Below are 13306 nucleotides of genomic sequence, written 5' to 3' on the forward strand. Positions count from 1 at the left end.
TTAGGACAGAGCCTGGCATCTAGAAGGCCCTCAATAGACATTGCGAAAGAATGGCCCAGAGGCCTGGTCTCTGCTAACCCTCCACTGCCTCCTCCCCTTCTGATCAACTTCCAGTAGAATGGTCTGCATTGATGAAAATGGTCTAGAATCTGAGCTGTCCAATATGGTAGCCACTAGCCAGATGGGGCCATTTGAGCATATGAAATGTTTAAGTTTAGCCATACATGGCTACTGTAGTGGACAGTGCCCTTTTAGACCATCTGGGAAATGGTTGTAATTGCCTCTTCTCTCTTTGTAAGAAGAAGGGATGATAAATTCGCACAGAAATCTTGTGTTCAGGTTCATGAAGCACTTTCTTGTAGAGCCTAGACACCGACAGCAAGTGCTTTGGGTTAGACAAGTCTGGGTGGACATCTTCACCTCACCTGGAATCACTGTGGCCTCAGTTTCCTCATCTGTAAAATGGGAATGTTATACCTTCTTCATAAGGAATTTTGAAAGATTAAACCAGAAAATAAATGTAAAGCTTAGCATAGTAACAGAGTATTTACCAACAGAGTAAATACACAGCAAATATACAATTGTTATTATTGCCATTATTACTACATATTACTATGTATTGCCATTCAGTAAGTCCTTACTTAACATCATCAATAGGTTCATGGCAACTGTGACTTTAAGCCAAATGGCATACTGTATAGCAAAACCAATTTTACCATAGGCTAGTTAATACAGACAAGAGCTAAGTTCCTACAGCATGCAGTGCTTCTTTTTGCTTAAAGTCAAAGTATCCAAGAACCTATTGATGTTCCGTGAGGACTTACTGCATATCATTGTAACTATTATTATCACCGCTCTTGTTACTGTTCTTATCATCACCATCATCATCATCTCTGATAATGCCAAGAAGTAACTATAAAATCGCCACTTTGTAGATGAGGAATGTGAATCTGAAAGCTGGACTGAGCACCAACTTCAGGAGAATAGAGACTCAGGCACGTTGAGTGCTACATCCCCAGGAGCTGCACAGAAGCATCAAGAGTACCCAATAAATATTTATAAGTTGACACATGAAATGCTCAAGTGTCCACAGCTAGTAAACAGTAGAGCTGAGGTCAGAACTCACACTTCTAGACTCTCAGCCCGGGTTCCAATCCCTCAGCCACTGCCTCACCACTTCCTGCCAACCTCAGTTACTTCACTTGCATTCATTCATTCAACAAATACTTTTGATCACCTACTATGTGCTATTTTGAAAATGAGGATACGTTGACAAACGAGACATCAAAAGTTCTACTCTCAGAACACTATTTAGGAAAATTACAAGCAAAATCATAGTATACTATATATATTATACAAACAAAACAGTAACATACCATATATAGTATATTAGAAGGTGATAAGAACAGTGGAGCAAAATAAAGAAGGAAATAGGAACAGAGAGTAATGGGGGTTGCCATTTTAAATGGGGTTATGTTGAAAGGCTTTAACAGGGTGACAGAGTGGCTGTCAGGGTATCAGGGGGAGGAGCATTAGTTCAGGCAGAGGAAAGACCCGTGCAAGGGCCCTGAGGTGGGAACACACCCAGGGTGTTCAAGGAACACAAGGAGGCCAGGGTGCCTGAGCAGGGCGAGTGAGTGGTTTCTGCTCTGGGGACAATGGGAAGCCACCGTGAGCTACTCCGTGATGAGTGGCATAATAGCCATTTTAAATGGGACACTCTGGCTGCTCTGTTGAGAACAGAGAAGTACTCAAGGGGAGATGCAAGGAGGTCAGTCAGGCGGCTCCACAATAATCCCAGAGAGAAGGTGGCAATTCAGATGAAGATGGTGTTTGTAAAGAGAGTGAAAACTGTGTTGATTGTGGGTGTGTTTTGAAAATGAAACCCATGCGATATGCTGACTAAATGTGGGGCTTGGGGAGAGGGAGGAGGCAAGGAGGGTGCCAAGGCCTCTGGGCCCAGCAAGAAAAAGACAAAGGAACCACTGACAGGAAGGGAGGCAAGGGGCAGGATTTCGGTTCTGCCTTGGTGCATGAGTTGTGGAGTGCCTGTGAGCCTCCACGGGCCATGTCAGGTAGGCATGCAGATCCACGGTGGAGCTCAGAGAAGGTCTTGGCTGGAGATGGAAATTCGGGAGCTGCCAGGGGATAGATCACCAAGGGTGTGAGTACTGACAGAAGGAAGAAGAGAACCCAGCACTGAGTCCTGGGGTGCTCCGGCCATTAAAGATCAAGTGAAGCACAGATACACTCATGATCTCCATCTTTCCTGACCAAGCTCTCAGGAAGTTTTGTTTTGTTGTTGTTGTTGTTTGAGAGAGGGTCTTGTTCTGCCATCCAGGTTGGAGTGCAGTGGTGAGATCATAGCTCACTGCATCCTCGAACTCCTGGTTTCAAGCCATCTTCCTGCCTCAGCCTCCTGAAAACCTGGGAATACAGGCATGTGCTATCACACACAGCTATATATATATATATGTTTTGTAGAGATGGGGGTCTCACTATGTTTCCCAGGCTGCTTTTGAACTCCTGACCTCAAGCGATCCTCCTGACTTAGCCTCCCAAAGTGTTGGGATTACAGGCGTGAGCTTATTTGACTAATAGTTCCCTTAACTCAGAATTCCAAGGCTGCAGTTTTGAAGCTATAGTAATTACACAGTGTAACAGATAATGTTACATCATATCTGGCTGATTTTTTGTTGTTCTTTTCTACAAATCTGGGACACACCCAATCCACTGAACTTGGCATCACAACCAACCTAAATTACTGTTGTGTGGTACTTCAAGTAAAATAACGAAATGATACTATTAGCATAATGAAATGGTGAAAATGATGAAAGGATCCCATTCTGAAATAGACACTTATCTTTCAAAGGGTCTGGGTGGTTTCTTTCATCTCTAATTCTTGGGACATCAGATAGGCTTGCTACTGAGCACTGATTTCTCAGACATGTTGGTCTTGGGACTCCTTTACACATTTTCCAATTATTGAAGACTCCAAAAAACTTTTGTTTGTGCTGATTATATTTATCAACATTTACTCTCTTTAAATTAAAGGTGAGAATATTTTAAAGTGTCTAGTAATTCATTTTAAATAGGAATAACAATGCCATTGCATATTAACATAAATAGCATTTTTTTTTGAAAACTAAATAAACTAAAACTGTTTTATTTTCTAAAATAAAAAAAGTGAGAAGAATGGCATTTTTTTACATTTTTGCAAACCTCATCTATGTCTGAGTTAATGGAAGGAGCTGGATTCTCAAATCTGCTTGTACATTAAATCTGCTGCAACATCACACTTCCTGTCACCTTGGAAAACCCCATCGCACAATTGTGAGAAAATGAGTAGAAAAAGTAAGTAATACCTCAGTATTACTGTGAAAATAGCTGTGACTCCATGGACCCCTATAATGGTTCAGTGACGCCAGGGATTCCCTGGGCCCCACCTTAAGAACCACTGGGGAATAAAATGCATTCCCAGTGGGCATCAAATGATGAAATTAAAAAAGGTAAAATCCCTGCCCACAGGAACTCACAGTCCAGCAAAGGAAACAGACAAGCAGCCCAAACAATGTGGTAAATGTTCTCACCAAGAGATGTCCCAGCATCAGGGGGCCAGAGACTTGGAATATGCCAAGCTCCTCCTACATGCGGGCCACACCCATGACGATTCCTCCACTTGGGATGTTCTCTCCTGACTCCTTCCCTGGCTAAACCTGCCCATCCTTCAAGTCTTGACTGACCTTCCAGACTAAATGACCTCCTTCCTCCACCCTCTCTCACGGCTCCCCATCCTCCTCCTCACAGCAATCACTGTGTGCAATTAGGCATTGGTCTCCCAGCCCCCTGCACACAGCATGGGACTTAGCAAAGGTGCAATAAATATAGATAGATACATAGATAGATAGATACATAGATAGATAGATAGATACATAGATAGATAGACACATAGATAGATACATAGATAGATACATAGATAGATACATAGATAGATAGATAGATACATAGATAGATAGATACATAGATAGATAGATAGATACATACATACATACATACATACATACATAGATAATATTGAATGAATGGATGGATAGATGGTATCAAGTAATTACATGAAGGCATCATATAATTACAATAGGAAGAACTAACCTGTGCCTTCGGGAACTGTGCTCTGGGAACAGCCCTTACACCATTGCTCAGAAGAGGAAGCAGAGACCCTGAGGGCTGTGACTTGTCCCAGGCCCCACAAGAGGGAGTGGCCAAGGCAGGGACACACATGGCCAGAGCTCTTTCCTGTACAGTGTGCAGAAGGGCTATGCAAGACAGGCCCAGAGAGACGGAAGAAGGCTGGTCCCATCAACAGCTGGGATGGGCGTGGGCAGGGCCAGGGCCCAGGGGACGTGCTCAAGATGCCAAGGGCACCTGAATACAGGTGCTCATTCCCAGATTCCTGCAAAGGCAGGGGTTGCCCTTGAGGGTGAGGTACTCTACACCCACCATGGTCCTAGATGGCTTCAGGCCCTTCCCAGTAGGCACCGTCCCTCCCTTCTGGCAGGGACCACCCTCAACACCACTGTGGCTGACAGAGGCCAATGTGCACCAGGATTTCTGACACTGGCTTCCCAGAAGGAAGAGCTTGTGCAAAGCAGGTGAGGCCAGGCACGCAGGCTCTGAACTCGGGGGCCAGAGAGAGAGTACAGGACAGGCCTGGGGACGCGGCTCCCTGAGCCTTGGTTTTGTCACCTGCAAAACGGGCCAGATACTCCCATCTCACAGGGCAGATGCAAGTGAAAGGACCCAGGGAACATGTTCTGTCATTGGACTTTTGAAAGCTCAGGACACTGACATGGCGTTTTTCCAGTGAAAACCTAAAGACAGAAAGGGAGCAGGGTCTCTTTTAAGAGACTAAACCTCTGCCAGTGTCGCAAGTGTCCTGGGGTAGAGAACACAGCAGGACACGACCCACCACCCTAGGAGAGAGGTGGGAGGACCTCAGGGCAGCATCAATGGGCCAGACCATTGGCCAGGGCAGTCCTGGGAATAGGAGCCTGGGTGTGCTGTCAGGGGCAATAAGGTGGAGAGAAGAGTGCCAGCATGGGACAGGAGTGGCAGAATGTCTACCAGGACAGACCACCCCAGAGGTCTGGGGGAAAATGGATGGGAGACGTGGGAAAACCATCACCAAGGGCTGGAAGTGAAGTGGTGGGACCTGAAGCCAGGGAGTGGCAGTGGGGAGTGAGGAGGGGCAGACATCCGAGCTGATTTGGAGGAAAAGGCACTAGGACTGGTGACCAGCTTTGTCGGGGGAGGTCAAGTCTAGGGCTACAGCCAGGGATCCATGCCTTTCGAGTTTAGGACCACAGAGGGAGGGCCAGGGTGAAGTAGGAAGTGGCTAAATCCATCAGCCAGGAGAGTTCAGTCACCTAAGAGTCCAGCCAAGAGCCCCCACTTTTAAAAACCGCTGCAATTTCCCAGTGCTGGCCTCTGCAAGGGGCTCTGCATATGTGAGCTCATCTAACCCACTTCCACCCTCTGGGGTGGACGCCGCGACGGCCCCGTTTCAACGATCAGGAAACTGGGGCACAGGAGTGAACTGCCCTAGGTCGAAGCTCGTAAAATGGAGAGCAGGATTCGAACCAGGGTCGCTGGTGAAGTCCAAGCCGGCAGCTGCCACACCCCGAGGAAGGTCTCCAGTTTCCCTCGAAGCTTTCTGGCCGTGAGCGGGATACACCTAAGGGCCGCGAAGCACCCTATTCAGATCCTGCCCTCCCTTCCTCATTCTTTGCGAAATACTAAGGGTCCTCCCTGCCACCGCCGGTGTAGACAAAGTCAAACCACTACAGTCAGACCGGAGCCTGGGGTCGGGCCCTCCTTACCTGCGTGCTGCTCTCGGGCCCCGCCCCGCTCCGCCCCGGAGGGATCCTCAGGCCGGGCCCAGACCTAGGAGCCACCTGGGGATCCCGGGGTGGCTGCGCGCCGAGGGGGCGCCAGCGGGGACGTGAGCTGGCGCCGAGACAGCCTCGGCCCCCCAGCGCCAGGGCCACTGCCAGGAGACCCCCGGCCAGCACCCACGTGGGGCGCCCCCGGGAGCCCGAGGGGTCCATCGCCTGTCGGGACCCGCTACCTCAAAGCGGCGGGTGCCGCCGAGTCGCTGGAGCTTCCGGACCCCAGGCCCGCCCCGCCGCCGAGCATGCTCAGTGCGAGCCGCCGCCGAAAGTTTTCTGGAACAAACACCCGCATCTGGGGCTTGGCGGGCCAGGAGGTGCCGGACGGGCGTGGGAGGGGGAGAGCGAGTTGGCGCGGCCCAGGCGCCCGGCGGCCAGGCCTGGGTTTGCTTGCGCCCAAACCGAATCAGAGCGGGTCACTCCCCTGCTCCCCGAGGTTACCAGGACCCCAAGGGCCCCTCCGCTACCGCCTACCTGGGTCTGTAAGCCTCAGCTCAGACGCACTTCCCCTGGGAACGGTTTCCTGACACACGGATGTGAATCCAGAGTTTCCCCATCCCCGCTTAGAAAACGGAGAAGCATTTGGAGCGCGGGGCCGGGAGTCCTGGAGCACCCAGAAGGTTCAGGAAAGCTCGGGGAGGAGGGGGTGGCCGCAGAGAAGGAAAAGGACCCTCACTTCCGGTTGCGTTCAGTGCAGACCAGCTGAGCACCCACTGCCCGAGCCTGCTGTGGGTCAGCCCTGGGCCGGCCCGGGTGCCCCTCGCATTCCCAGTGGGAAACAGGCCAGCCGCTGGGCCACCTCTCTGGGGACCTAGAAAGAGGGGAGCTGGTGTCTGAAGTCGCAGCCCTAAGCAAGCTCTCCCTGAACTCTCCGAGGGGACAGGGATTTGCTTTGCCAAGGGACGCAGGAGGAGGAGGAGGAGAAAGACACAAAAAGGGGGACTGGTGGAGCCTTTTGTGTGCTTCCTCATCCCTGCCTAGGTCCTGGGTGACAGCTGACACCTGTTGACGGGGGAGGGCTCCACTCCCGCCAGCCTTCCTGCGGGGCAGGCTGTTAGGCTGTCTATAAAGTCTCAGGCCAGCGAGCCTGGCCCCTGGCAGCCTCTCTCCCCATAACCCAGACCATCCAAGGACAGGCCTTTCCTGACCTAACATGGACAAGGCCATGGGGTTCGAGAAGCTGAGAATTTATAAGCCAAGTTCCCCACACCAGGGGGTACGTGGCAGCTGTCAGGCATGTGACAAGACCACAGGCTAAATGCCAAGCATGTTGCTGGACCGTTGGAGTTGTTTGACAGTCAGTCATTTAAAGGTTAATTTAATAGTCAACAACTTTATGATAAAGTAAAAAGCAAATAACCCTACATTTAAAAAATCTCCTTAGTATTTTTTATGGAGTCAGGGTCTCACTATGTTGCCAAGACTGGTCTTAAACTCCTGGGCTCAGACAATCCTCCACTTGAGCCTCCCAAAGTGCTGGGATTACAGGCGTGAGCAACCACACCTGGCCCAAACACCACATTTTAAAAACTAAAGCCTAAGCATTCATGGAAATGTAAAACAAGAGCGTCAAGTTATTGCCCCCATACATGTCCCCAGGAACCTTGGAGATGCTTCTAAGGTAATATATAAGAAGCTCCACATAGCAGAGAGTTTGCCCTGAAGCCAGACACAGGTGTAAATGAGACAAGAATTCTGCCCCACTCCTTAATTGCAAATGAGTCACCTCTCCTCTCCAGCTGTCAGTTTCTTCATTTATTAAAAAAAGATGAAGAATTTGGATAACAGTTCCCATCTTGCCATGAGGAAATGATGAAACAAACTAGAAACAAGCTGGACATCTAGGCTGAAAGGACAAAGCCCTCCTCTGCTGAAGCAGATCCCCATGGTGTCCCCTAGCCCGGCCCACACAGGGAATTAAGCTCCACAGGGTAGGTGTGTGTGTGTGTGTGCCCCTGAGTGCAAGTGTGCAGTCGTGCATGTGCATGTGTGCTTTACCCAGGCACCCAGGACAAAAGCAAACATCTAGTAGCTACCCCATAAATGTTTGTTTAAAGCAAACACAGTGATGAACTCCTTTAATTTTTTATCACTCTAAACAACTGTGAGATACTCACTAGCCTGGACACTGCCTGGTTTGTGGCTGGCCTATCCCCCAGCCTGCAACACACACACAACAGATTCTCTCCAAGTGCTGAGTAAATGAAGGATGGTGCAGTGTCCTGGTCCTAGTGGGGAGCGGGTGTAAGGGTCTCTTTATCCATTGTCTCAGTGGGGAGTGGGTGTAAGGGTCTCTCTACCCTTGGTCCTAGTGGGGACTAGGTGTAAGGGTCTCTCTACCCATCGTCTCAGTGGGGTCTGGGTGTAAGGATCCCTTTACCCATCCTCCTAGTGGAGACTGAGTGTAACGGTGTCTCCACCCATTGTCTCGACCTTCCCTGGGACAAAATAAGATTAAAACAGGAGTCTTCGCGTGAGCAAGTTCAGAGGCGTGGAGGGCGGTGTGTTCCCGGGAAGGTTGATGGGTAGAGGTTAGGGGCAAGGGCAGGGGGTTGGAATTGCATTGATCCCAGCGTCTTCATCAGGAGGATGGGCGGAGCACCCACCGCAGAGGGTTATTGAGAAAGTTAATGAGATCATTAAGCTAAATGCGTAGCATATTCTAAGCCTCAAAAAACTTAAAGGAGCCTTCTAAGCCTCAGTAAAGTTAAAGGGGTGGAAACCGGGCCCCCCTCCGGAAGGGTCCGGGGCTGGGAGGCGCGTCTGTCTCTGGGCATGCTCAGTGCAGGGGCAGGGCTGGGGCGGGGGTGGCTGAAAGTTTTGAGCGGTGATCCAGGCTCCTCCCTCCGGCTCGGCGAAGCAGGGAAGGGGAGAGAAGCAGGAGTCGGGAGACTGCACAGGCCAGAAAGTCTGCGGAGCGGGCCGCGCCCCTGGCCCGCCCGGGCTCCAAGTCCCGCGTCGCCGCCCTGGCGGGGACGGTGCAGCAGGCGGCGGGATGCGGCGGGGCGGCAGCCTGAGCGCCCCGGATGGCCCGCGGCGGGGCGGCCTGCAAGAGCGACGCGCGGCTGCTGCTGGGGCGGGACGCGCTGCGGCCGGCGCCCGCCCTGCTGGCCCCCGCCGTGCTGCTGGGCGCCGCGCTCGGCCTCGGCCTCGGCCTTTGGCTTGGCTGCCGCGCGGGCCGCCAGCGCACGCGACACCAGGTGGGTCGGCCGAGCAGACAGCGGCGGGGCGGGGAGCGCGGGGCGCGTGGCTTCTGGGTCCTGCGGGCCCGGAGCCCCGGCTCTGCGACTCCTTGAGCCTGGTTGGGAACTTCGCACGCAACCGCTTAGGCGTCGGGTTCCCCTTCTGCTCCAGGAGGGAGGTGGCGGCGTGACTAAAGGGCATTGGCCTGGGGTCCCCTGCGGTGCCTGTTACATCCCACTCCGTTGGGTGATCCTTGACAGCAGCCCAACTGCGCCACGCCTCGGTCTCCTCATCTGCAGCACCAAGGGTTTGGACAGGACGCTGGCCCTGCTCGCCATGGTGGACAGAAGGACGGCTGGGGCTCCCACGCCTGAATGCCTATTCCTGCTTCTGCCTCTTCCATCCTTGCGGTGTGGGTTACGTCGCCTGGCCTGAGTCCCAGCTGCCACATTGGCATTCATTTTTTCATTCACCCCACAGTAAAAGTTTTCAGGCACCTTCTACAGCCAGTCACTGGCCTAGGGACGACATTCATGAGCGGGAGAGACCCTGCCTTGAGGCTGTGAACCTCAAGGAGAAGGACGAATTGCAAGTTTGCAAGTAAACTATCGGTTATGACACCGCATGGGGAGTCTGCGATGGGACGCTGGCAATGCTAGCGTTTATTAAGTGCTGTGTACCAGGCACTGAACTAGACCCTCTCCCTAAATGATCTCAATGAATCTCCACAACAGTTTGTCTCTGCTTTGCAGATGAGGAAACTGAGGCACAGAGAGGTTAAGCAACTTACTAAAGTGACAGAAGTGTCTAACCCCAAAGCCACTGTGTTCTTCATGGATGAGGGTCGGGGTGGCTGCCTGAAGGAGACCAGTGGATGCTTCCTATGCAAGTGGCCCTCATGGAATTGGCTGTGCATGGCAACACCTGGCATATAGCAGGCATTCCATGAATAGTGGTATGGCCACTATTTTAGGTCCTTGCAACTTCTGCCTCTTTGGGGTGGGAGGAGAGTAAAGTCTGCGCGATCAGAAACAAGATGGCGTGGTCTTGCTACCCCCATTTCTGGCCCGTGGGAAGATGAGACAGATCTTGTGCGGTTTCCATGTAGGCACAGGCTCTTTCAGAATATAGGGGAATTTGGTGACTCATGGGGAGCATTACACCGCAAAGAGCTGATGAGGGCTGAAACTGAGATAATGCAAGATGCTCGTAGGTGAGTTGGGGGTTGTCAGATCCTGCTGGTGATTAAGAGACACTAAGAGATGCTGGCTTGTTGCATGGAGAGAGAAAGGGAAGTAACACACAGAGACTTGGCTGGGTGTCCTGTGCAATGTTTATAGACATCTGGTTCTTTATCCTCCAGCCCATGAGGTGGAGGAACTGCCATTATCCCCACTTTACAGTGAGGCAGGGGATGCTCTGCAAGGGTGTTTGTCCAGGGTGCCACGATGAGTAAACAGTGGGACTGAATTTCAACCCTAGTTGGTTTGAACCCCAAAGCTAGAGCCTTAAGTATCTGCTACCTGGTGAGGTGGTGGTTAGTATCCCATTTGCTAGCTGAGTCAGCTGAGGCTTACCGGGATTAACCAAGCCATCTGGGTTTGCACAGCTAGTCAGTTGAGGGTGATGGTGGCTCAGACCAGGGTGGCAGCCATGGAGGGGTCTGTGGCTCAAAGTAGGACTAATAGGATTTTGTTACAGTTTGATGTGATCCTTGCGACAACCTTCTTTCTAATGAGATTCTTTTCCTCCTGTCTCCTCCCTCTAGTTTTTATTTATAAAATGTATGTCAGACAATATGATTCTCCTGATTAAACACCTCCAGTGACTCCTGGCTGCCTGCAAAAGATAATGCCCAGGCTGGGCACTGTGGCTCATGCCTGTCACCCCAGCACTTTGGGAGGCCAAGGCGAGCTGTTCAACTGAGGTCAGGAGTTCGAGACCAGCCTGGCCAATATGGTGAAACCCTGCCTCTACTAAAAATACAAAAATTAGCTGGCATAGTGGCAGGAGCCTGTAATCCCAGCTACTCAGGAGGCTGAGGCAGGAGAATCGCTGGAACCTGGGAGGCGGAGGTTGCAGTGAGCCAAGATCGCACCATTGCACTCCAGCCTGGGCGATAGAGCAAGGCTCCGTCTCAAAAAAAAAAAAAAAAAAAAAATTAGAGACCAGCCTGACCAACATAGAGAAACCCTATCTCTACTAAAAATACAAAATTAGCCAGGTGTGGTGGTGCATGCCTGTAATCCCAGCTACTGGGGAGGCTAAGGCAAGAGAATCGCTTGAACCCAGGAGGTGGAGGTTGCAGTGAGCCAAGATCATGCCATTGCACTCCAGCCTGGGCAACAAGAATGAAACTCCATCTAAAAAATAAATAAATAAATAAAGATAATGCCCAGTTTTCTAGCATGGTGCATACAGTGGCTTACCTTCCCCTGAGCACCTACCCTGATGCACAGGTGCCCAGCCACTTGCCTCATCCTGCTCTCCAGCCACTCAAGACACCTCGCTGTTCCCCGTACACCTCTGCACTTCTGCACATCTGTTCTCTCCGCCTGCGCGGTCCTTTCTTAGACTCTATCCTGCTCAGCCCTCAGGACCCAGAGAGATCACCTTCTTAACTAGGGAAGCCTTAACCTTCCACGCTAGATCAGGTACTTCCCTGCTTTGTAGGCACTGTTTGTTCTCCTCCTCTGTTCCAAGTCACAATTTTATCTTGCATTGCTTTCCTTTTGCTGTTTTTGTTTTATTTTGTTATTTTAACTTATTTCATCATTAAACCTGTTTTATTTACATCAAAGTTGTTCATGCACATAATTTAAAGTATTAGTTCAAAAGGAGCAATAGCCCCACCCATTTTCTACTTCTCAACAGTGGCCTTGTTAACTCTTTCAGCTGATTATTTTGGGAATTTACTTCCCATTTCTAAATAATGTGCCTATATTGCTGCTGCTTGCATTTTTTTTTTTTTTTTTTGGCTGCGTGCAATAGCCGTTGACCCTCCACTGTGGAAAGGAAGAGGACTTAGCTCTGTTGCCTCCCTTCCTCCATAAAATGTCCACTCTTCCCAACACCACCACCACACTCTCAATACGGAGGTTATAGGGGAATTTGGTTAAATTTGTATTCAGTGTTTCCATTATTACAATTCTACAAACATTATCTACTGCAAGTTAAGGATCAGTTGTGGTCATGAATACCTTCTTTTCTTGCACAACATTTTGTTTTTCCTGAAATTAATAGCTATTCTCTTTTTTTGTTTTTTGTTTGTTTTTTGTTTTGTTTGAGATAGGGTCTCACTTGATTGCCCAGGCTGGAGTTCAGTGGCATGATCACAGTTCACAGTAGCTTTGACCTCTTGGGCTCAGGTGATCCTCCCGCCTCAGCCTCCCAAGTAGCTGGGACTACAGGCTTGCACCACCATGCCTGGCTAATTTTTTTTTTTTTTCTATTTTCTGTAGAGTTAGAGTTTTGCCATGTTGCCCAGGCTGGTCTCAAACTCCTGGGCTCAAGCAGTCTTCCTGCTTTCACCTCCCAAAGTGCCAAGATCACAGGTGTGAGCCACCACATCTGGCCTTGGTTTTTTCATTTGCTTAGATTCTGTGTACTTATCATTCATTTAACTCTCCCCCACATATGTGCGTTTGTGTTCAAGACATTTGAATGCATTAGATATTTGATCCATTTTATCTTCTTGAGAAAAATATCTCTCCCAGAAACATTCTGACAAGCTCTAGTTTGAGCTGGTTATTCTCTAGACAGCTCTCTAAAGTGTGGACCAGACCAGCAGCATCAATATCTTGGGGAGCTTGATAGAAATGCATATTCTTGGGCTCTACCCCAGACTCACTGAAGGAGAATCTCTAGGGATGAGTCCAGCAAGCTGTGTTTAATAAGCCCTCCTGGTGATTTACATGTTCTTAAAGTTTGAGAAGCAGCTACTCATCATGCTGGGAGTTTCTCACGTCTCTTCTGGGTTGAATCCTGTTTCAGGGATTCCCTGGCACTCCCCTTTTGTTAGGTAATTTCATTGCATGCCTGGAGCACATCCTTCAGTAGCTTTTTCAAAAAGGGATGGATGCAACTCTTTTGAGAACTTCTATGTCTGAAAATATATTCTTCTATCTTTATACTTAATTTGGTAAGAATAATTAGATTGGGAATAATTTTCCTCCAGA

General features: G+C 50.0%; 2 protein-coding genes across 53 annotated transcripts in view, besides 10 other annotated features; one reads left to right on the forward strand and one right to left on the reverse strand.

The window, feature by feature from the left end:
- The window catches only part of EVC2 (EvC ciliary complex subunit 2), a 180538-nt gene extending 173399 nt beyond the window's left edge, over positions 1-7139 (reverse strand). For 3 of the 7 annotated variants that reach the window (NM_147127.5, XM_047449612.1, XM_017007738.2), the window contains exon 1: positions 5877-6150. In NM_147127.5, coding sequence (NP_667338.3) covers positions 5877-6104 — 228 coding nt within the window. In that variant the 5' untranslated portion in view covers positions 6105-6150. The other 4 variants (XM_017007736.2, XM_047449611.1, NM_001166136.2 and 1 more) reach the window with 4 other exon arrangements.
- Positions 1627-1676: an enhancer, noted in NCBI's record as "active region_21240". NCBI's record gives its function as "activates an Ori minimal core promoter by ATAC-STARR-seq in GM12878 lymphoblastoid cells {active_cell/tissue: GM12878}" and the evidence as "EXISTENCE:reporter gene assay evidence [ECO:0000049][PMID:35858748]".
- Positions 1737-1786: an enhancer, noted in NCBI's record as "active region_21241". NCBI's record gives its function as "activates an Ori minimal core promoter by ATAC-STARR-seq in GM12878 lymphoblastoid cells {active_cell/tissue: GM12878}" and the evidence as "EXISTENCE:reporter gene assay evidence [ECO:0000049][PMID:35858748]".
- Positions 5770-6149: a silencer, noted in NCBI's record as "silent region_15220". NCBI's record gives its function as "represses an Ori minimal core promoter by ATAC-STARR-seq in GM12878 lymphoblastoid cells {active_cell/tissue: GM12878}" and the evidence as "EXISTENCE:reporter gene assay evidence [ECO:0000049][PMID:35858748]".
- Positions 5770-6709: a biological region, named in NCBI's record as "H3K4me1 hESC enhancer GRCh37_chr4:5710226-5710845".
- Positions 6090-6709: an enhancer, noted in NCBI's record as "H3K4me1 hESC enhancer chr4:5710226-5710845 (GRCh37/hg19 assembly coordinates)". NCBI's record gives its function as "activates a minimal SCP1, AML or CMV promoter by ChIP-STARR-seq in naive H9 embryonic stem cells {active_cell/tissue: H9 hESC(naive)}" and the evidence as "EXISTENCE:reporter gene assay evidence [ECO:0000049][PMID:30033119]".
- Positions 6190-6239: a silencer, noted in NCBI's record as "silent region_15221". NCBI's record gives its function as "represses an Ori minimal core promoter by ATAC-STARR-seq in GM12878 lymphoblastoid cells {active_cell/tissue: GM12878}" and the evidence as "EXISTENCE:reporter gene assay evidence [ECO:0000049][PMID:35858748]".
- Positions 8751-8800: a silencer, noted in NCBI's record as "silent region_15222". NCBI's record gives its function as "represses an Ori minimal core promoter by ATAC-STARR-seq in GM12878 lymphoblastoid cells {active_cell/tissue: GM12878}" and the evidence as "EXISTENCE:reporter gene assay evidence [ECO:0000049][PMID:35858748]".
- Positions 8792-13306, forward strand: part of EVC (EvC ciliary complex subunit 1) — a 117857-nt gene continuing 113342 nt past the window's right edge. For all 46 annotated transcript variants that reach the window (XM_047449774.1, XM_047449769.1, XM_047449778.1 and 43 more), the window contains exon 1: positions 8792-9145. In XM_047449774.1, coding sequence (XP_047305730.1) covers positions 8972-9145 — 174 coding nt within the window. In that variant the 5' untranslated portion in view covers positions 8792-8971. The remainder of the gene's footprint in view (positions 9146-13306) is intronic.
- Positions 8851-9000: a silencer, noted in NCBI's record as "silent region_15223". NCBI's record gives its function as "represses an Ori minimal core promoter by ATAC-STARR-seq in GM12878 lymphoblastoid cells {active_cell/tissue: GM12878}" and the evidence as "EXISTENCE:reporter gene assay evidence [ECO:0000049][PMID:35858748]".
- Positions 9471-9540: an enhancer, noted in NCBI's record as "active region_21242". NCBI's record gives its function as "activates an Ori minimal core promoter by ATAC-STARR-seq in GM12878 lymphoblastoid cells {active_cell/tissue: GM12878}" and the evidence as "EXISTENCE:reporter gene assay evidence [ECO:0000049][PMID:35858748]".
- Positions 10126-10435: an enhancer, noted in NCBI's record as "active region_21243". NCBI's record gives its function as "activates an Ori minimal core promoter by ATAC-STARR-seq in GM12878 lymphoblastoid cells {active_cell/tissue: GM12878}" and the evidence as "EXISTENCE:reporter gene assay evidence [ECO:0000049][PMID:35858748]".

Source organism: Homo sapiens, chromosome 4, assembly GCF_000001405.40.
Source record: "Homo sapiens chromosome 4, GRCh38.p14 Primary Assembly".
Taxonomy (NCBI): domain Eukaryota; kingdom Metazoa; phylum Chordata; class Mammalia; order Primates; family Hominidae; genus Homo; species Homo sapiens.